Source organism: Homo sapiens, chromosome 2 (assembly GCF_000001405.40).
Source record: "Homo sapiens chromosome 2, GRCh38.p14 Primary Assembly".
NCBI lineage: Eukaryota > Metazoa > Chordata > Mammalia > Primates > Hominidae > Homo > Homo sapiens.
Genome location: NC_000002.12, coordinates 199,881,593 through 199,902,464, shown reverse-complemented (window position 1 = coordinate 199,902,464; position 20,872 = coordinate 199,881,593). Strand labels below are relative to the sequence as shown.

Genomic DNA, 20,872 nt, shown 5'->3' with positions numbered 1-20,872 from the left:
TCTCCTATTGATCTTTCTTTTGTTATAGGGGCCTCAGCCATGAATCTGGTGATTGATGAGAAAATAAATGTCTTTTCCCATACACTCACATACAAATACATTCACTTCTACCGCAAGACACCCTAATTCTCGTCCAGTCATGGTTTCATACTTCAGAATTTCATGTTCTGTATCAGGTACCAATGTGGCAGCACGTCCTGATATGCAAATCTATAAAGTGAAAAAGGTTACCTGTCCCTCATACACTCAATATTTAGTGGTGAAATAAGGAGTGGAAAATCACATAAATACTTCCATTCAAAAAGAGAAAAGTTAGCACACTTCAGTCCTTGGTTCCGAGCAGTTTTGAAATTCTTCTAGACACATGTTATCAGATCCCTCTATTCCTGGGAAAGGGAATATTCCTTGATTGGGGCCCAGCTTAGGTCTCTGGGAGTGGCTCTGTATTCCATTGTGTCCTGTGAGTTTTGGCTCTAGATTCTGAGCAATATATTATGAGACACCTTTTCTTCTCCATCGTCCTTTGGATACATCTTAAGTAGCTCATGTTGGCAGCTGACTAACTTTCTTAACCTGCTTTCTGCCAATGGCAAATTAGGGATCCAGAGGTCTTTTTGCATATTCGAATACTCTCAGTCCTTTTAAGGGCATGCTAATAGCTTTTTTACCTATAAAATTTACTTAAAAATTGTGTGTGCTATGTATTTGATTATAGTCTATGTCATGCTCCAAAGCTCACAATCATAATTGTTTTTTTGGTTTTGGGGTTTTTTTTTGAGACAGGGTCTCACTTTTTTGCCAAGGCTGGAGTGCAGTGGCACAATCACGGCTTACTACAGCTTTCACCTGTGAGGCTCAAGCAATCCTCCCACCTCAGCCTCCCAAATAGCTAGGACCACAGGCATGCACCACACTCAGCTAAATTTTTTAAATTTTTTTGTAGAGACAGAGTCTCCCTCTGTTGCCCGGGCTGGTCTCAAACTCCTGGGCTCAAGTGACCCTCCCACCTTAGCCTCCCAATGTGCTGGGATTACAGGCATGAGCCACTGTTTCCAGCCTCCATAATTGTTTTTAAGACATGCCTCTCACCAGACATGGTGGTGTGTGCCTATAGTCCCAGCTGCTCTGGATGCTGAGGCAGGAGGATCACTTGAGTTCAAGAGTTCTGGACTGTAATGTGCTATGTCAATTTTGTGTCTGCACTAACTTCAGCATCAATATGGTAACCTCCAAGGAGCAGAGGACCACCAGGTTGCCTAAGGAGGGGTAAACCAATCCAGGTCAGAAACAGCAGGTCACAACTCCAGTGCTGATCAGTAACGGGATTGCACCTGTGAATAGCCGCTGCATTCCAGCTTGGGCAACATAGTGAGATCCCATCTCTTAAACAAATAATAATAATAAAGCATACTTCTGTATATAGAGATTTTTACTTTGGGAAAAGGTTTCTGTAAGACCATGACCCTAAAATTCCAAAACCCCTCTGCCCTGCTGATAAGGTCTAATAGTTATACTTTAGTTCTTTCAAAGACCTGTATGAAGGATCTTGTATTTATACCCTTGATCTTATCTGTGGCTACCAGGCTATATTTTAATTGGAGAGACTGGAGATAGAAAGTTTTATTTTCCAACATAAGAAGTCCTGGGCCCTTAATACTCCCTTTATATTTGGTTTGACTACTGGCCATTTTTAACTCTTGTCTCTTTCTTTCTGTATCTTTTCATACACAACTAGGAGCTGATACCATCAGCATTCTTACTGAAGAACTCCTTAGTGAAATAGGGAAGTTCATAAAATGCTTGTGAGAAGATGGAATAAATAGGAATTTCTGTATTCCTCCTGATAAGTACAACTAAAAACCCTGGACATTATTTATAAAACAAACTGAAGAAGACTCTGAAAGATAGAGAGGAGAAAGCAGACCACCTAGGGACCTCAGGACTCAAGGAACAAAATGGTAGTGATACCTTGGGTATTCTTTTTGCGTCATATATTGCAGAATTGGAGCTGAAGAAGCCAGCAACTCAGAAATGCCACTAGGCATAGACCAAAAACAGAAAGAAAAAGAAAATCCTCAAAAAGAGCTTGTAAGCCAGGCACAGTGGCTCCTGTAATCCCAGCACTTTGGGATGCTGAGGCGGGCAGATTGCTTGAGCTCAGGAGTTCAAGACCACCCTGGGCAACATTGTGAAATCATGTCTCTACCAAAAAAATTAAAAAATCAGTTGGGCATGGTGGCATACGTCTGTGGTCCCAGCTACTCGGGAGGCTGAGGTGGGCCTGGTGGGTGGAGGTAGCAGTGAGCTGAGATCGTGCCACTGCACTCTAGCCTGGGTGACAGAGTGAAACTCCATCTATAAAAAGGAACTAGGAAAGCTGGAAGCAGTGGCTCACTCCTGTAATCCCGGCATTTTGGGAGGTTGAGGCAGGGGGATTTACATTAGGGCTCACTGTTTGTATTAGGTTGGTGCCATTAAAAATGGCAAAGACCGCAATTACTTTTGCACCATCTAATATTTACATTCTATGGATTTTGACAAATGTGTACTGCCATGAATCCACCATTACAGTATCATACTGAATAGTTTCACTACACTAAATATCCCCTTTGTTCCACCTAGTCATTGCTCCCCTGGAGACCTCTGATCTTTTCACTGTCTCCATAGTTTACTTTCTCCAGGATGTCACGCAGATAGAATTAGGTAGTAACCAGCCTTTTCAGATTGGCTTCTTTCACTTAGCAATATGCATTTAAGTTTCCTTCATACCTTTTTGGCATGACAGCTCATTTTTTTATTGCTGAATAATATTCCATTGAATTTATGAATCAGAGTTAATGTATTCTTTCACTTATTGGAGGATATCTTGGTTGCCTCCAAGTTTTCAGCAATTATGAATAAAGCTGTTATAAGCATTTGTGTGCAGGCTTTTGTTTGAACATAAGTTTTTAGGTCGTCTGGGTAAATACCAAAAAGTGCAACTGCTGGATTGAATGGTAAAAGTATGTTTAGTTTTCTAAAAAACTCAAACTATCTTCCAAAATGGCTATACCATTTTGCATTCTCACCATCATTAAATGAAAGACTCTGTTGCTCTACATCCTTACCAACATTTGGTGTTGTGAATGTTTTGGATTTGGGCCATTCTAATAGGTGTGTGATAATAACTCATCGTTTCATTTTGTAATTCCCTGATGATGTATAATGTTGAGTGTCTTTTTATATGCTTATTTCCATGTGAATATTTTCTTTGGTGAGGTGTCTGCTTAGATCTTTGGTTTATTTGTTAATTGGGCTGTTTGTTTTCTCACTGCTTAGCTTTTAAGAGTTCTTTAATCATTTTGGATATCAGGCCTTTGTCAGACATATGTTTTGCAAATTTTTTTTCTAATCTGTAACTTGTCTTCTCTCTCTCTATATCTATCTCTATCTCTCTCTGTCTCTATGACTAGGTCTCACTTTGTTGCCCAGGCTGGTCTTGAACTGGGCCCAGGCAATCCTCCCACCTCAGCCCCCCAAAGTGCTGGTACAAGCGTGAGCCACCATGCTCAGCCTTTTTTATTCTCTTAACAGTGAATTTCACAAAGCAGAAGTTTTCATTATAAGGAAGTCCAACTATCAGTGTTTTCTCTTATGGATTGTGCTTTAAGTATTGTATCCAAAAAGACATCACCAAACCCAAGGTCACCTAGATTTTTCCCTGTTTTCTACTGGAACTTTTATAGCTTTTCATTTTACATTTAGATCTGTGATACATTTTGAGTTAGTTTTTATGAAAGATGTAAAATTTGTGTCTACATTTATTTTTTATTTTGCTTGTGGATGGACAGTTGTTTCAGCACCATTTGTTGAACTATCTTTGCTCCATTGTATTGCCCTTGCTCCTTTGTCAAAGATTAGTTGACTATATTTGAGTGGGTCTATTTCTGGGCTTTCTATTCTGTTTCATTGATCTAGTCAGTAGTCTTTTAATAATTTCGATCCTCCCAAAGTGCTGGGATTACAGGCGTGAGCCACCGTGCCCAGCCAAGTTTCCCTATTTATGAATGAATTCAGCATATAATTTGGTGGTGGTGCAAAGTAATGTTTCAAGATCTCAAACTCTCTAAACCTATTAACCTAAATAGTTACTTTCTCTTGCCAGTTTAAAGAGGTGCCCTTTCCTCTTCTACTGTATAAATTACCAAGACCCATCTTTCTCCTCATCTGCAACAGCCATCTTGCCAAGAGAGCCTCTGCTGCCCAAGGAGCTCTCCCAGGAGGTTCTGTCATATTACCAGAGGGTCTGATGCTACTAGAAGATAAACAGCCCCTTCTCACACTGCCAAAATTGGGAGAGATGTGCTTCCAAAATGAAAATTGGAATTTATTTATTCTTAGAAACAATGTTAAAAGATAGGTACTTAGTACATCATGTATTAAATGGCTTCTTTATGGTCTACTCTAGGAAAATAAGACTGTTTATGGCACTTTTATTACAAGTTCTAAACAAACTTCTCTTTGGAAAAATCTTGCAAATTAACTTGGGGGCTTCCTATATGTACTGGTTACCAAGGAGTGGGGAACAGTTCACCTCAGCAAGAAGGAATATTTTATTGCTGACATTGTTTAGAATTGATATCACATGATGATTATCATTGAAAAGCAGATCTATTTTTAGTCTGTTTTACTATTGTTTTTAAATTTTCTCCCACATAAGGCATCTTTGGTTGCCTGCTCCCAAGAGCTGATGATTTTACTCTCCCCACGGCCCCACTACTTTGTACACCACTGCTTATATGTGCATTAGAAGCTGGGAAGTGGAAATTAGAGTTCTGTTGTAAAAAAATAAAATAGGCCGGGCGTGGTGGCTCACACCTGTAATCCCAGCACTTTGGGAGGATGAGGCGGGCAGATCACGAGGTCAGGAGATGGAGACTATCCTGGCTAACACAGTGAAACCCCGTCTCTACTAAATATACAAGAAATTAGCTGGGCGTGGTGGCGGGCGCCTATAGTCCCAGCTACTCAGGAGGCTGAGGCAGGAGAATGGCGTGAACCCAGGAGGCAGAGCTTGCAGTGAGCCAATACTGCACCACTGCACTCCAGCCTGGGCAACAGAGCGAGACTCTGTCTCAAAAAAATAAAAAAATAATAAAAATAAAAATAAGATAAAATAAAATGAAGAATTTGGAAGGATAAAAGCCTGGCATGAATCTCTGTTCTCCATTTTACCAACAAGACAATTCAGGGCTAGTAACATCCTTTCTGAGCCCCAGCTTTCCCTTCACTAAAATAGAGTTAAATATCTATTTTTGTGAGCATTAAGTAATGTGATTTAAAGCATCTGACACTTAGCATATACTCTTAACTAAAATTGATTTTCTCCTGTAGTAAACATTTTCATATTTTCTGGTAGCTCAGGATGTTTTGAATATATTTGCTATGTTTAGGGAATTTCCAATCTTAATATAAGTGTTGCTTCCCCAAGGTAAGCTCTGAAAATTTTTCCAGACTCTCAAAGCTAGGGCCAGCACGCCTGCAGAAGACTGATTTGGAAGTTAGCAGCTTGAGAAAGGAAAAATTCTGCTTTGAAAACAATTTGCTGATAAAGGCATATGACATTTGGGATGGCAGTGCTTGCAAGGCCACAACTAGTGCAGTAGTGGCCTTGCTGGGCAGTGGGAGTGGCAGCAGTTACATTTAGTGTTTGGTAGGGCATTAATAAGTTGTGGCGGTGACTTTGTCATTGGACCAGTTTTATGGGATAGTTTTAAGCATTGTTCCTGGAAGCCTAATTCCATACCTGTTCCTCTAGCCTCCCATTGATTCTCTGAGTCTTCCCATCTCCTTTTAACAAATTCTTTTCTGCTCACTCAGCCAGAATTAGCTTCTGTTACTTACAACTGTGAGTCCTGACTGAAAACATATTTCTTCCTTTGAAGAACTGTTACCTGTAACAGGCTAAGAAGAATATTAAGGTAGAGGGAGTAATTATATAATTTATAATCACTGTAAACAAAGGTGCATAATGCTGGAAAACAAACTCTAGAAAAGTTTAGTGAACTATTATTGAGCAGAAATTGAAGAATGTATCTTTTAAGGAAATTATACATAATATGGGGATATTTTTGCCAAGTTTCTCTATTACTGTTGGAAATAGTTGGAGACCTTAGACGTTTTTTGTCCTCCAAAAGAAATTATCTTAAAACCAGTTTATACAAATACAAATGTATACAAATTTTCAATCCCTGGATATTGATTCTTTTGTTTCTGGGGTTTTTTTTGTTTGTTTTTTTTTATGCACCCTCTCTTGTCTGTCACCCAGGCTGGAGTGCAGTGGTACAATCTCAGCTCACTGCAACCTCCGCCTCTCGGGTTCATGCAATCCTCGTGCCTCAGGCTCCTGAGTAGCTGAGATTACAGGAATGCACCACCACCCCCAGCTAATTTTTGTATTTTTAGTAGAGATGGGGTTTCACCATGTGGGCCAAGCTGATCTTAAACTCCTGGCCTCAAGTGATCCGCCTACCTCAGCCCCCCAAAGTGCTGGGATTAAGACATGAGCCACTGTGGCAGCGGGCCAATATTGATTCTTTATAGCAGTCCCAAGTGAGTTTATCAAGTCAAAGCCAGAATCAAAATGAATCAGGCATTATATAGCATATTAAATTTCTAGAGCTCAGCTCAGCTCCCCTAATCTCTTAGCAGCAACAAGCAGAGTGGCAGCTCTCTCTCATTGCAGTAGGGAAATAACAAAGCGAGAGTAAAACTGCTGTTGCAAAATGAAGCACATCACCACATTTCCATCTAATGCGTTATACTTCATGAGTCTCCCAGGAGCCAGAAAAACACAACAAAGTCTTTAAAAGTGAATCCAGATGTCGGCCATCACCATAGCAGTGCTTTAATTATCAAAAAACAAATAACTCCTTAGGTACAGTCTAAGCAGGTGTTTGTTCACAGAAAACAGAATAGCTGAAGAAACAGCTGTGGCATTATATCTGCTTCAAGACTAGGGAAGAAAATTACAATCTAAATGACAGAGAGACTACCCAGGGAGAGCATAGAAAAATCACAATTATTAGAATTTTGCAAGTATTAACCTATATGACATAATGACTGATTAATATTAATTACTCCATTTTACAGATGGTAAAACTAAGTGCCTTGTATTATAGTCATGCCTCATTCAAAACCTGTCAGTCTTTGACAAGTTCACTACATGATGAATTTATTTTACAAGATCCTTTATGCATATCATATAGCATGGGCTTATTTTTAAAATATATATATATATTTTAACACAAATAATTTTTGTTTTATGAAACTTAGAAAATAAAAATTAGCAAAAAGGAAACCTTTAAACCATCTCTAATAACTGCTAACTTTTTAGATGAGAGGATTTTACATCTGGATCTATGGTTAGGCTTCACAGGATCTGTGAACCTCTGAACTAACTAAAAAATTACAGTATGTTTTTTCCTGGGGTGAGACTGTATATACCTTTCATCAGGTTCTCAAGGGTCTATCATAAAAATTAATAACTCTCCATTCTCTAGATTTTATATGTTTGACTAGAAGACCAAAGATTCATTACAGCTTATTAGTCGCAGCTTGAGAAGGAAGATGGCCTTTGTCTAAATGTTAAATGGGCCCAAATAAATAGTAATCTCTAAAATTTGGCTTAGCTTTTGTACAGCAATCTTTCAAAATTACTGAATATTAGGAAAATATTTCCTTTCTTCTTTAAGATTTGTACTTTTTGTTTCTGTGCATGTTTTTGTATGTGCAATCTCACAATTACCTGATGGACAAGAAGAATAAACAGATGCTTTTACAGCTCGCCTTGGCGGGAAGATCTGGCACAAATGAAGTATCTATAAGGAGCAGCAGAGTCAAGGTGGTGATCCTGTGGATGAATAACTGAAACCTGATATACTTGACAGCAGAAAATATAAAGCAAATTGAAAAGGAGAGAGTGTGGAGATAAATAAGAAAATGAAAGAACTGATAAAGTCACTTGGATTAAAAAACCTGGGAGTAAGGGCTTTGTTTATGATTGAACTTAAGAGAGAATTGAGGGACCACCTACCTTTGATGTTAACGAGAAAGTAAAGAGGAAACATATTTAGAGATACCCTTTGGTGAAAAACAGAAATGGATGTGTCATTTGATGCATCACATTATTTATTCAACAAACTCTTAGTGAGAACTTACTGTGTATGAAAGACTGGACTGAAACATATATAAGAAATAATTTTTGGCCCAAGGAATTTATAGTATAATTGAGGAAACAAATACAAATCACTTCTGCAAAGTAGCAGAGACACAGATGAGGAATTGTAATGTTTGTAAAATCAAAGTGGTGGGAGTAGTCAAAAAAGTGTTTACAGAATGGTATTCAAAATGGGCCTGAAGGCAGAAATCAGACTGGTTGTTACCTGGAAAACAAGGAGAGAAAGGACAAGGCAGGAGAAGAGAACAAGTACAAAGGCATGTGGGGGTAGGAAGGCATGGCATGGGTAGAAAATGCCAGTTAAATTGACATTGTGGGAAAATAACGAGTTTAGCGTATGGGGGCATAGCAAATAATGACTCTGGTTTCGGCAAAACCCCAGGGGAAAGAAAATGAGATCCTGAACTATGGCAGTAACAGAGGGGAGTGGGAAAAGAGGATTAACTAGAGAAATATTTAGAAACTAAGAATCTCAGGATTTAGTACTTCTTGGGGAAGCCATCGTGAATGCTGGCTCTCAAGCTGCATTATCAACAAACAAAAATATTGATACCTTAAAGTTAAAGTCCCACCCTCCTTTTAGAGACTGTAAGACATAGTTCTATCTTGTCTCACATCTCTACCTCTGTTAATCTCCATTTGGGCCAAGCATCCTCAACATGCCTATTCTCATATTCCTCCAATTACAACCTCCAGGGTCTTCATGTTGCAGAACTCACGGAGTTGGATTCTATGTGAATTGTAAATCGGGTACAAGGTGCATAATGCCCTATTTACCTTTTCCTTAGCTTCCAAATTCTTTTATCATGATCTCCAAAATGCCACCCAGCATGTCTAACTCTGCGATCAACAAAACACCGTATGACCTCAACCTCTTTCCTGAGGTTTCTTGCATTAATGGAAGTTGCCCTGAGCTCTGATGTCCTTGCTTCTCTTGCAGCCCTCCCACGTCGAAGCGGTTTTTTCCTTCACCTTTTTTTTAAGTATTTTAAAATTTATTTTCATGCCTTTAACACCTTATGAATTTGTGTGAATCATTCAAGATTACATCTGCCTTCCTTTCAAACTAGCTATGAGATATTTGATTCACCTTGACAAACTGTTCATTCTACACAACTGGCAATCTCCACAGTTCATTCTCTCAGTTGGGTTGATTCCAACCTCCTCAGAAAAGGGTATCAATGGAATAAGGGTTTTTAATTTTTAACTTTTTTTTCTTTTTTTTTGAGACAGAGTCTCACTCTGTCACCCAGACTGGAGTGCAATGGCTTGATCTCGGTTTACTGCAACCTCCACCTCCCAGGTTCAAGTGATTCTCCTGCCTCAGCCTCCCGAGTAGCTGGGATTACAGGCACCCACCACTATACCCAGCTAATTTTTGTATTTTTAGTAGAGATGGGGTTTCACCATGTTGGCCAGGCTGGTCTTGAATTCCTGACCTCAGGTGATCCACATGCCTCAGCCTCCCAAAGTGCTGGGATTACAGGTGTGAGCCAACACGCCTAGCCCAATTTTTTATTTTTTATTATACTTTAAGTTCTGGGATACATGTGCAGAACGTGCAGGTTTGTTACCTAGGTATACACATACCATTGTGATTTGCTGCACCCATCAACCCGTCATCTACAGTAGCTATTTCTCCTAATGCTAGCCCTCCTCTAGTCCCCAAACCCCCAACAGGCCCTGGTGTGTGATGGTCCCCTCCGTGTCCATGTGTTCTCATTGTTCAACTCCCACTTATGAGTGAGAACATGCAGTGTTTGGTTTTCTATTCCTGTGTCAGTTTGTGAGAATGATGGTTTCCAGCTTCATCCATGTCCTTGCAAAGGACATGAACTCTTCCTTTGTTATGGCTGCATAGTATTCCATGGCGTATATGTGCCACATTTTCTTTATTCAGTCTATCATTGATGGGCATTTGCCAAGTCTTTGCTATTGTGAACAGTGCTGCAATAAACATACTTGTACATGTGTGATAGTAGAATGATTTATAATCCTTTGGGTATATACCCAGTAATGGGATTGCTGGGTCAAATGGAATTTCTGGTTCTAGATCCTTGAGGAATCACCACACTCTCTTCCACAATGATTGAACTAATTTACACTCCCACCAACAGTGTAAAAGCATTCCTGTTTGTCCACATCCTCTCCAACATCTGTTGTTTCCTGACTTTTTAATGATTGCCATTCTAACTGGCATGAGATGGTATCTCATTGTGGTTTTGATTTGCATTTCTCTAATGACCAGTGATGATGAGCTTTCTTTCATAAGTTTTTTGGCCACATAAATATTTTCTTTTGACAACTGTCTGTTCATATCCTTTGCCCACTTTTTGATGGGGTTTTTTCTTGTAAATTTGTTTAAGTTCCTTGTAGATTCTGGATATTAGCCCTTTGTCAGGTAGATACATTGCAAAAATTTTCTTCCATTCTGTAGGTTGCCTGTTCACTCTGATGATAGTTTCTTTTGCTGTGCAGAAGCTCTTTAGTTTAATTAGATCCCATTTGTCAGTTTTGGCTTTTGTTGCCATTGCTTTTGGTGTTTTAGCCATGAAGTCTTTGCCCATGCCTTTGCCCTGAATGGTGTTGCCTAGGTTTTCTTCTAGGATTTTTATGATTTTGGGTTTTACCTTTAAGTCTTTAAGCCATCTTAAGTTAATTTTTGTATAAGGTGTAAGGAAGGGTTCCAGTTTCAGTTTTCTGCATCTGGCTAGCCAGTTTTCCCAGCACCATTTATTACATAGGGAATCCTTTTCCTATTGTTTGTTTTTGTCAGGTTTGTCAAAGATCAGATGGTTGTAGATGTATGGCATTATTTCTGAGGCCTCTGTTCTGTTCCATTGGTCTATATATCTGTTTTGGTACCAGCACCATGCTGTTTTGGTTACTGTAGCCTTGTAACATAGTTTGAAGTCAGGTAGCATGATGCCTCCAGCTTTGTTCTTTTTGCTTAGGATTTTCTTGGCTATATGGGCTCTTTTTTGGTTCCACATGAAATTTAAAGTAGTTTTTTTCCAATTCAGTGAAGAAAGTCAATGGTAGCTTGATGGAGATAGCATTGAATCTATAAACTACTTTGGGCAGTATGACCATTTTCATGATATTGATTCTTCCTATCCATGAGCATGGAATGTTTTTCCATTTGTTTGTGTCCCCTCTTATTTCCTTGAGCAGTGGTTTGTAGTTCTCTTTGAAGAGGTCCTTCACATCCCTTGTAAGTTGTATTCCTAGGTATTTTATTCTCTTTGTAGCAATTGTGAATGGGAGTTCATTCATGATTTGGCTCTCTATTATTCATGTGTAGGAATGCTTGTGATTTTTGCACATTGATTTTGTATCCTGAGACCTTACTGAAGTTGCTGATCAGCTTAAGGAGATTTTGGGCTGAGATGATGGGGCTTTCTAAATATACAATCATGTCATCTGCAAACAGAGATAATTTGACTTCCTCTCTTCCTATTTGAATACTCTTTATTTCTTTCTCTTGCCTGATTTCCCTGGCAAGAATTTCCAATACTGTGTTGAATAGAAAATAATGAGAGAGGGCATCCTTGTCTTGTGCTGGTTTTCAAAGGGAATCCTTCCAGCTTTTGCCCATTCAGTATGATATTGGCTGTGGGTTTGTCATAAATAGCTCTTATTATTTTGACATATGTTCCATCAATACCTAGTTTATTGAGAGTTTTTAGCATGAAGGGGCATTGAATTTTGTTGAAGGCCTTTTCTGCATCTATTGAGATAATCATGTGGTTTTTGTCATTGGTTCTGTTTATATGATGGTTTACTTTTACTAATTTGTGTATGTTGAACTAGCCTTGCATCCCAGGGATGAAGCCAACTTGATTGTGGTGGATAAGCTTTTTGATGTGCCTCTGGATTCGGTATTTTATTAATTGCCAGTATTTTATTAATGCTTTTCACATCAATGTTCATCAGGGTTATTGGCCTGAAATTTCTTTTTGTTGTTGTATCTCTGCCAGGTTTTGGTATTAGGATGATGCTGGCCTCATAAAATGAGTTAGGGAGGATTCCCTCTTTTTCTATTGTTTGGAATAATTTCAGAAGGAACGGTACCATCTCCTCTTTGTACCTCTCGTAGAATTCAGGTGTGAATCTGTCTGGTCCTGGGCTTTTTTTGGTTGGTAGGCTATTAATTACTGCCTCAATTTCAGAACTTGTTATTGTTCTATTCAGGGATTCAACTTCTTCATGGTTTAGTCTTGGGAGGGTGTATGTGTCCAGGAATTTATCCATTTCTTCTAGATTTTATAGTTTATTTGCATAGAGGTGTTTATTGTATTCTCTAATGGTAGTTTGTATTTCTGTGGGATCGGTGGTGATATCCCCTTTATCATTTGTTATTGTGCCTATTTTGTTCTTCTCTCTTTTCTTTTTTATTAGTCTTGCCAGCGGTCTACCTATTTTGTTGATCTTTTCAAAAAACCAACTCCTGGATTCATTAATTTTTTGAAGGGTTTTTCATGTCTCTATCTCCTTCAGTTCTGCTCTGATCTTAGTTATTTATTGTCTTCTGCTAGCTTTTGAATTTGTTTGCTCTTGCTTCTCTAGTTTTTTTTATTGTGAAGTTAGGGTGTCGATTTTGGATCTTTCCTGCTTTCTCCTGTGGGCATTTAGTCCTATAAATTTCCCTCTAAATACTGCTTTAGCTGTGTCCCAGAGATTCTGGTATGCTGTGCCTTTGTTCTCACTGGTTTCAAAGAACTTATTTATTTCTGCTTTAATTTTCTTATTTACCCAGTAGTCATTCAGGAGCAGGTTCTTCAGTTTCCATGTAGTTGTGTGGTTTTGAGTGAATTTCTTAATCCTGAGTTCTAATGTGATTGCACTGTGGTCTGAGAGACTATTTGTTATGATTTCTGTTCTTTTGCATTTGCTGAGGAGTGTTTTACTTCCAATTATGTGGTCAATTTTAGAATAAGTGCAATGTGGTGCTGAGTAGAATGTATATTCTGTTGTTTTGGAGTGGAGAGTTCTGTAGATGTCTATTAGGTCTGCTTGGTGCAGAGCTGAGTTCAAGTCCTGAATATCCTTGTTAATTTTCTGTCTCATTGATCTGTCTAATATTGACAGTGGGGTGTTAAAGTCTCCCATGATTATTGCATGGGAGTCTAAGTCTTTTTGTAGGTCTCCAAGAACTTGCTTTATGAATCTGGGTGCTCTTGTATTGAGTGCATATATATTCAGGATAGTTAGCTCTTCTTGTTGCATTGATCCCTTTACCATTATGTAATGGCCTTCTTTGTCTTTTTTGATGTTTGTTGGTTTAAGTCTGTTTCATCAGAGACTAGGATTGCAACCTGTTTTTTTGTTTGTTTGTTTTTTGCTTTCCACTTGCTTGGTAAATATTCCTGCATCCCTTTATTTTGAGCCTATGTGTGTCTTTGCACATGAGATACGTCTCCTGAATACAGCACAATGACGGGTCTTGACTCTTTATCCAATTTGCCAGTCTATGTCTTTTAATTGGGGCATTTAGCCCATTTACATTTAAGGTTAATATTGTTATGTGTGAATTTGATCCTGTCATTATGTTGCTAGCTGGTTATTTTGCCCATTAATTGATGCAGTTTCTTCATAGTGTTGATGGTCTTTACAATTTGGTATGTTTTTGCAGTGGCTGGTACCAGTTGTTCCTTTCCATATTTAGTGCTTCATTCAGGAGCTCTTGTAAGGCAGGCCTGGTGGTGACAAATTCCCTCAGCAATTGTTTGTCTGTAAAGGATTTTATTTCTCCTTCACCTATGAAGCTTAGTTTGACTGGATATGAAATTCTGGGTTGAAAATTCTAAGAATGTTGAATATTGGCCCCCACTCTCTTCTGGCTTGTAGGGTTTCTGCAGAGAGGTCTGCTGTTGGATGATGGGCTTCAGCCCTTTGTGGGTAACCTGACCTTTCTCTCTGGCTGTGCTTAACATTTTTTCCTTCATTTCAACCTTGGTGAAACTGACAATTATGTGTCTTGGGGTTGCTCTTCTCAAGGAATATCTTTGTGGTGTTCTCTGTATTTCCTGAATTGAATTTGGCCTGTCTTGCTAGGTTGGGGAAGTTCTCCTGGATAATATCCTAAAGAGTGTTTTCCAGCTTGGTTCCATTCTTCCCCTCACTTTCAGGTACATCAATCAAATGTAGGTTTGGTCTTTTCACATAGTCCTATATTTCTCGGAGGCTTTGTTCATTCTTTTTCATTCTTTTTTCTCTGATCCTGTCTTCATGCTTTATTTCATTAATTGATCTTCAATCTCTGATATCCTTTCTTCCACTTGACCAGTTCGGCTATCAATATTTGTGTATGCTTCACGAAGTTCTCATGCTGTGTTTTTCAGCTCCATTAGGTCATTTATGTTCTTCTCTAAATTGGTTGTTCTAGTTAGCAATTCCTCTAACCGTTTTTCAAAGTTCTTAGCTTCCTTGCACTGGGTTAGACATGTTCCTTTAGCTCAGAGGAGTTTGTTTCACCTGTTTTTTCTCTGCCCCTGAGTATCTTAGGGCTAAGAGTTGGAATAGATGTCTTTGTGTCCCATTGTTGCTTTGAAACCATTTTACTGCCACCTTCCTATAGGTTATCTCTTCCCTCAAAATTCATTCCCTCTTCTTCCCCCCTTATTGCTAATATTTAATGTCCTCCCTCCCCTTTCATCCACTGGAAATTTTAGCTTTTGGTTCATAGTTCACGTTTCACCTCCTTCTGCTTAAAATTTTTTCCTTGCAGTTAACCCATTCTACACCTGCTTTCTCAGTTCCTTGATCTCACCTCCAACACCTTTTCTTGCATTTCACTCTGGGCACACTCCCATAGCCATTTCCCAAATTTATCAGAACCAAAGTCTGCACTATCTCTGAAATCTTGGCTGAAATATTCGACTTTTTGATTAATATCCTTTTATTTTGTGCTTTTTTTTTCTGTAGAACTCCTATAGCCACAATTTGTTGATTTAATGCAGACTCTCAATACCTTAACCCACTGATTTTCATTATCAATCAACCTCTTCTTTATTCTACCTTCCTATTTGACTAGCTTAAATTCTATGGGTGATTATTATGACTCTTTTGTTAATACCTAGCTTTACTTCTTTATTCATTCCGCTTGGAGAGGTAGAGAAACTTGTCTGATTGGAAAATTTGGGAAGAATATACTGGGCATGGTTAGCTCAATTCATTCCTTTTACCTGTTCTCTGCAGGTGGGTAATAAACCCATAAATTTCTCTGTAATCCTCTGACCTTGTGCCAAGATGGGAAGAGGTCTGCCCTGGTGCAGTGCTGCACTGTGGGTGGGTGAATGTGCTAATTCTGGGGTTTGGTATTAGGAAACTCATTTGCCCACACATGTAAAGTATATTCATTAATATATCAGCTTAATAAAGGTGACAATTTGGCTTCTTCTATCTTATTTCTTTGTCTCCTTTCTCAGTTGTTCAGAACTCTAGCAGGGAAGATTTTGGTTAATTTAATTTCCTCAAAGTCCTCAAATTCATATCTCCCTTCTCTCTTCTCTATATTGTTAATATAAACATGAGCAGTATTTTATGAATTATTCTGCACTTTATTGTTTTCGCTTAATTATATATCCTAGAATTCTTTCTCTATCATCACAGACAAATTTACTTATTTCTTTTAATAGATACATGGTATTTCAATATGTAGTAGTACCCCAAAAATGTATCATTTATTGAGACAGTGTTGCTATTGATGAACATTTTGGTTTTCTGTCATTTGATAATACAAAGTGCTACAACTGAAATTACTATATATACATTTTCTGTGTGCATGAGAGGAGAGGTTTTTCTGTGTGCACTTTAGGAGAGGTTTCACACTAAATTCATAATTATAAACTTCAATTGAGACAGTTAACATGACCTGGAAATATTATTTTATTTACCAAGTAAGTGCAGTTTTCCACTTTGAGTCAATTATTTTATACCTTCCTTCCCACTCACCTGATGACAATATTTTATATTTAATTTGAGGGAATTCATCAGACAGGAGCACTCTCATCTTCCCACTATCAAAATTTGTAAACTTAACTATGTATGCCATCTTTTCTTTCCTTCCCTAGCAATGAAGGATGTGTTCCTTCTCCCACCATTTGTGTTCTGGATCCTACTTCTACTTTCCTCAAGCCCTTCATCTTTTCAGTTACGCCTTCCCTGTCCTGTATCACCACTCTTTCCCATCCACATTTAAAAAGAATGCTTTTTAAAGCCTTTCACTATTGGTTATCCTCTAGCTACCACCATTTCTATGAATCCTTTCACAGTAAAACTTCTGGAAAATTAGCTTTATTTCTCACTTCTTATCAATTCTTCAACTCAGTCCTGACTGGTTACTATACTCATCACTTCACTGGCACTTCTCTTATTAGAGTCATCAACGATGTACACGCTGTCAGATGTAAAAGATATGTCTGTGTCTTCATTTAGCCCAGCTTCTTAGCACCTTTTAAAATACTTAAAGACTTTTTCCTTGAACACTCTTCTTGGCTGTCTTCAGAGAAATTGCAGAAACCGTATTCTCTTGGTTTCTCAACTACTTCACTACCTGTTCCTTCTCAGTCTGTTTATCTTTCTTTACCTTTTCTCTAAATACTGAAGTAAATTACAGTTCAGTTCTAGGCTCACTCTTCTTCATACATTTTTTATACATTTTCTTCCTAAGTAATCTCATTAATTACCAGAGTTCTTTTTTTTTTTTTTTTTTGAGACAGGATCTGTGTTGCCCAGGCTGGAGTGCATTGGTACGATCATAGCTCATGGCAGCCTCCCCCTTCCCGGGTCTCAGGTAATTGTCCTGCCTTAGCCTCCCAAGTAGCTGGGACCACAAGCACGCACCACCACGCCTGGCTACTTTTGTATTTTTTGTAGAGCCAGGGTTTCATCATGTTGCCCAGGCTAGTCTCAAACTCCTGGATTCAAGCCATCTGCCCACCTCAGCTGCCCAAAGTGCTGAGATTACAGGTGTGAGCCACTGTGCCCAGCTTTATTACCAGTGCTTTTAATTCCCATCTATAGACTGATAAGTCCAAAATTTATATCTCCAACTCAGAATATCTTTTTTTTTTTTGAGACAGAGTCTCACTCTGTTTTCCAGGCTGAATGCAGTAGCATGATCATAGCTCACTGCAGCCTGAAACTCCTGGGCTTAAGTGATCCTCCCACCTTAGCCTCCTGAGTAGCGAGGACTACAGGTTCATGTCCAGCTAATATTTGTATTTTTGTTTTTAAATAAAGACAGGGTGTTGCTACAGATGTTGCCCAGGCTGGTCTTGAACTCCTGGCCTCAAGTGATCCTCCCACCTAAGCCCAAAGCACTGGGATTACAGGTGTGAGTCACCATGCCCAGCCCAGAACTTTTCTTTTCACATATTCTGTTATTTAGGTAGAGTTGTATCATACAAGCATTTAATTTACATGCTGACTTTGAACGCTCTTCCTAATGTAAGATTTAAATTTTAACTGACATATCCACTTGGGTGTCTCACAGACACTCAATATGTCCAAAATGGATATCTTTGTTTTCCCTTAAACCTGTCCCTACTACCTTCAAACTTCCTTGTCTCAGTCAACCAATCCAGCATCCTCCCAAATTCTGATTACCAAGATTACCCATAAATCTTGGTGTGATATGTACTTAAAATAAAATCCACACTTCTTACCATGACCTAAACATTGTATGACCTACGTGTTATCCATATTTCCAATGTCATCTCTTTCCATTTTCCCTTTTGCCCATGGTGTTTCAGCCATACTGGTCTTTGATTGCCTAGAACAACCCGCCTCTGCAGCTTTAGGGCTTTTGCCTTTCTCTGCCTGATTCACTCTTCTGCTGTTTTTTGGCTAGGTCCTTATTTTTTCAGGTCTCAATTTGCACCTGTCTAAAGTCTTTCCTGACTTTTCTATTTAAGGTAGGTTATCCTCTTCCCACTACTATATTCTTATCTCAGCCTTTTATGGAGTTTAACTTGAATGTATTGATCTAAAACTCAAAGAAGAAGACATGTACTAATTAGGGAAGAATGCACATGGGCATAGGTAAATTTAGGGAACAGATGGTGTATTCGTCTGTTCTCACACTGCCAATAAAGACATACCCAAGACTGGGTAATTTATAAAGGAAAGAGGTTTAATTGATTCACAGTTCCACATGGCTGGGGATGACTCATAATCATGGCTGAAGGTGAATGAGAAGCAAAGTCACGTCTTACATGGCAGCAGGCAAGAGAGCCTGTGCAGGGGAACTCCCCTTTACAAAACCATCATATCTCATGCGAACTATCACAAGAACAGCACGGGAAAGACCTGCCCCCATGATTCAACTACCTCCCACAGGGTCCCTCCAACAGAATGTGGGAATTATGGGAGCTACAATTGAAGATGAGATTTGGGTGGGGACACAGCAAACCACATCAGATAGACAAGATATTGAGTTTCCTGCGAAGAAGGAAACAGGGCTATCAATTGAGAGTAGGGGCCTTGAGAATGGTAGAACTTTGTAATAGCTACTTGGGGTGAGAGGTGAGGTGAGATAGGGCATTTTCACCAAATAATTGGCAGAGTATTGTGTAAGAGAATTGGCAGAGTATTAAGGCTCCAGCTGAGACCAGTGTGAATTTTTTCCACAAGCTCAGGTGTGCAAAAAATACCACGTTATTTTTTTAAAGGCAATTTAAAATTAATTCTAAACCTCAAGTTAATGAGGGTGGAGGGTAATCCATTCTCAGTCATTATTGGGACTCCCAGAGTTGTCCAAAAGCCACAGGTATTGTGGAGCCCCCTTTTGACATTCAGATATAAATTATCAATCAGCTCATAATGCTTACTGCTGAAATAACCATTGCTACCAACCCTTGACCAGCCCTTTAGATCCAATAACTCTGCTGCCTGCTTGGGGTGTAGAAATATGTTTCTAGTTAGTAGTTCCTGTGCCTCTAGTCCAGCTTTCCTACATATCCTCTGATGTCTTACCACATCTCTGGTACTAACATTCTGGGATCTGACAACTTCTGACCTTTCCCAACAAAAGATGTAATATCATGGTTATAACTGTGCCTGGAGAAGCAGATAAAAAGAAAAATTTAAATAGTGTTCTAAGCCAGATTGGAGAGAGTCGTGGAGCATATACTTAACTCTAATAATTCGCTAAGAGATGAGCTGCAAGCTAGTGGGAAGTACAGAATCCTATTTTGCCAAATCAGGTAATTAAGTTTTGAAAACATTTACTGTAAAACTTTATAAAATGTGCAATTTGAAATATGTTAGCAACACATTTCCTGGGAAACTAAATTCTAGAGGATCAGCTTGAGTATAGTCTCAGCAGTTGACACAGCAAGCAGAGCTCAGCTGCAGTGGATTAAGGATGGCTGCAAATTCTTTGACATTCCTCCCATGGAGAAATGGGGTCTAATTCCTTAATCCTTTAATCTAGACTGGATTTAGTGACTTGCTTCATCAATGGAATACACTCAAATAACATTTTGGAATTTCTGAGACTGTCATAAAAAGCTGAAGGGCTTCTATTGGGCTTCCTGAAATGCTCCCTTTTGGATCCCTGAGCAGCCATGTGAGTTTAACTACTCTGCAGGAGAGAGTATGTGAAAAGGAACCTACCTAAGCCCAGCCTCCTTGTCATCCACAGGAAGACACCAGACAAATGAGTTACACTGTTTTGGACTCCCCAACACAACCCAGCCACCGGCTGAATGCCACCAAATTACCTTCTAGTTAAAGGTTTATGGAGCAAACGAATCACCTATTCAATATCTGCTTGAATTTCTGACTCAAAATACATCAGGTATAAAATGATGGTTTTTTTAAGCCACTAAGTCTTGGGGGAGTTTATTATAAAGCAATAGATAATTTTGAAAATAAATAGAACAAGCTGAAGTCCCAATAAGAACTCCATGGTTTCATTTATTTCTTTGATAGAATGGTCTTGGAAGTAACATCTAATTTTGACTGAGGTATCATCTCTAACCAGTGATCTATAAAGCAGTTTGGGATCTCTAGCCTGCCCGTGATCATATATATATATACACACACACACATAAACATATATAACATATATATAAACATATATATGCATGTATGTGCCCCATAGTTAGGTAAGTCAATTTACAATGATGAAGTAAATCGAATTCATAATAATAACGGTTAGGTTTAGTGATAAATTTTGTAATTACTGCTGTTATGTTTGTGGATTTTTTTTCTTTCTTTGAGACACGTTCTTGCTTTGTCACCCAGGCTGGAGTGCAGTGGTACAATCATGACTCATTGCAGCCTCAATCTCCCAGGCTCAAAAGATCCTCCCACCTCAGCCTCCCAAGTAGCTGGGATTAGAGGCATGTACCAACACACCCAGCTAATCTTGTATTTTTTGCAGAGACAGAGTCTTACTATGTCACCCAGGCCCGTTTCAAACTTCTAACCTCAAGTGGTCCTCCAACCTTGGCCTCCCAAAGTGCTGAGATTACAGGCATGAGCAAACACCCCCAGCCTGTTATTTTAAGTATTTAAAAAGTTAAAGAGGATTTGATATATTAGCTTGTGGTTTAAATTAGGAAACTTTAAGACAATTTGATGCTAGACTTAAGATTTTAATTTGAAATATGTAAGATAATTAAATGTTTAAATAGTGCTTGA

General features: G+C 38.8%; 1 long non-coding RNA gene and 1 pseudogene across 3 annotated transcripts in view; both read left to right on the top strand.

The window, feature by feature from the left end:
- The window catches only part of LOC101927687 (uncharacterized), a 32,651-nt gene that overhangs the window by 8,682 nt on the left and 3,097 nt on the right, over positions 1 to 20,872 (top strand). Inside the window, exon 3 of one of the 3 annotated variants that reach the window (XR_923769.4) lies at positions 19,869 to 20,024. The exons of 1 other annotated variant lie outside the window; for it this stretch is intronic. This is a non-coding gene — a long non-coding RNA (uncharacterized LOC101927687). Of the gene's footprint in view, positions 1 to 7,801; positions 10,200 to 19,868; positions 20,025 to 20,872 lie in introns of those variants that run through there. One more of the 3 variants, XR_241384.6, reaches the window with a different exon arrangement.
- On the top strand, positions 1,088 to 1,384 carry RN7SL717P (RNA, 7SL, cytoplasmic 717, pseudogene; annotated as a pseudogene).